Source organism: Homo sapiens, chromosome 12 (genome assembly GCF_000001405.40).
Source record: "Homo sapiens chromosome 12, GRCh38.p14 Primary Assembly".
Taxonomy (NCBI): domain Eukaryota; kingdom Metazoa; phylum Chordata; class Mammalia; order Primates; family Hominidae; genus Homo; species Homo sapiens.
In genome coordinates this window covers 4983553-4984626 of record NC_000012.12, presented here as the reverse complement: position 1 = coordinate 4984626, position 1074 = coordinate 4983553, and the positions used below count along the sequence as shown (strand labels likewise).

The 1074-nt window shown below is 48.0% G+C and overlaps 1 annotated feature.

The window, feature by feature from the left end:
- Positions 736 to 785: an enhancer, noted in NCBI's record as "active region_5835". NCBI's record gives its function as "activates an Ori minimal core promoter by ATAC-STARR-seq in GM12878 lymphoblastoid cells {active_cell/tissue: GM12878}" and the evidence as "EXISTENCE:reporter gene assay evidence [ECO:0000049][PMID:35858748]".

Below are 1074 nucleotides of genomic sequence, written 5' to 3'. Positions count from 1 at the left end.
ATATTCCTGGCACACAGCTAAACTGCACTTCTCAGCCTCCCTGCATCTAGACATGATCTGGGATTGTTCTCACCAATGGGATATGAGCAGAAAAGATGTGCGTCACTCCCTGCCTGAGGCAGTTAAGAGTGGGTGTGTTTTCTCCATTCTTTCTGCCATGAGATGGACTCCCCTACACTCCTGTGTAACTGCAGAGAGAGCCACCCAACTCATATTAGGTTGTGATGAGACTGAGACATGAACTTTTCTTGTATTAGGCTACTGAGCTCTAGAGGTTGCCTATCAGAGCAGCTGAGGTTGCTTACCCTGATGGGTTATCAGCACGACCCTTCATTCTATGAAGGATAAATAAATGGCACTCAATGACAGTGACGTTTGGTGAAAATATTACTGAGCTACAAGGTAAGAGACTGAACTTCTAGCCTAACATCAAAAACTATCAAGCTCTTGGTTTTCAGCAAGTCACTTTCTCCTTCTGGCCCTCAGTTTCTGATTTCCAGAAGGAGGGAGTAGAACTACACTGCCACCATCATCCCACACTGCTCTGAGACATCCACAATGTGAAGCCAAGGGGGCTCAGGCCCACCGATGAATCCATCCACCTGTACTGAAATGTGCCTAATGATGTGTCCCAGGTCTGAAGGGTGCTGACCTTGGCTAGACAGCACTGCTCATTATTACCAGACAGCCCTCAATAGCCCCTGCTTGTACAGTACATGAGAATGGCAGAGATACGGTAAACCCCAAGTACTCAATGGTTGCTCAGCCAATGTCTTCTGTGCAATTGCTCACTGATAGCCAAGGCGACAGATGAAATGAAAGTGAAATTTCTCAAGATTCTTCACTACACCTCCCCCATCTCTCCCAAGCACCCTCTATCAGGCTGCCATGTTGCATGACTCCAGGCTGCATCATTCATATCACAGTCTGGATTACGCGCCTCTCCTGGAGTTGTGCAGTACACAGCTGGTGGGGCATTGGATGGTGGCCTTGGCTCTTCTATGTCCTCAGTGAACACACCATGCATTCCCACACCTCCTTGCTTTTGTCTGTGTGGCTCCCGTTGCCTAGAAT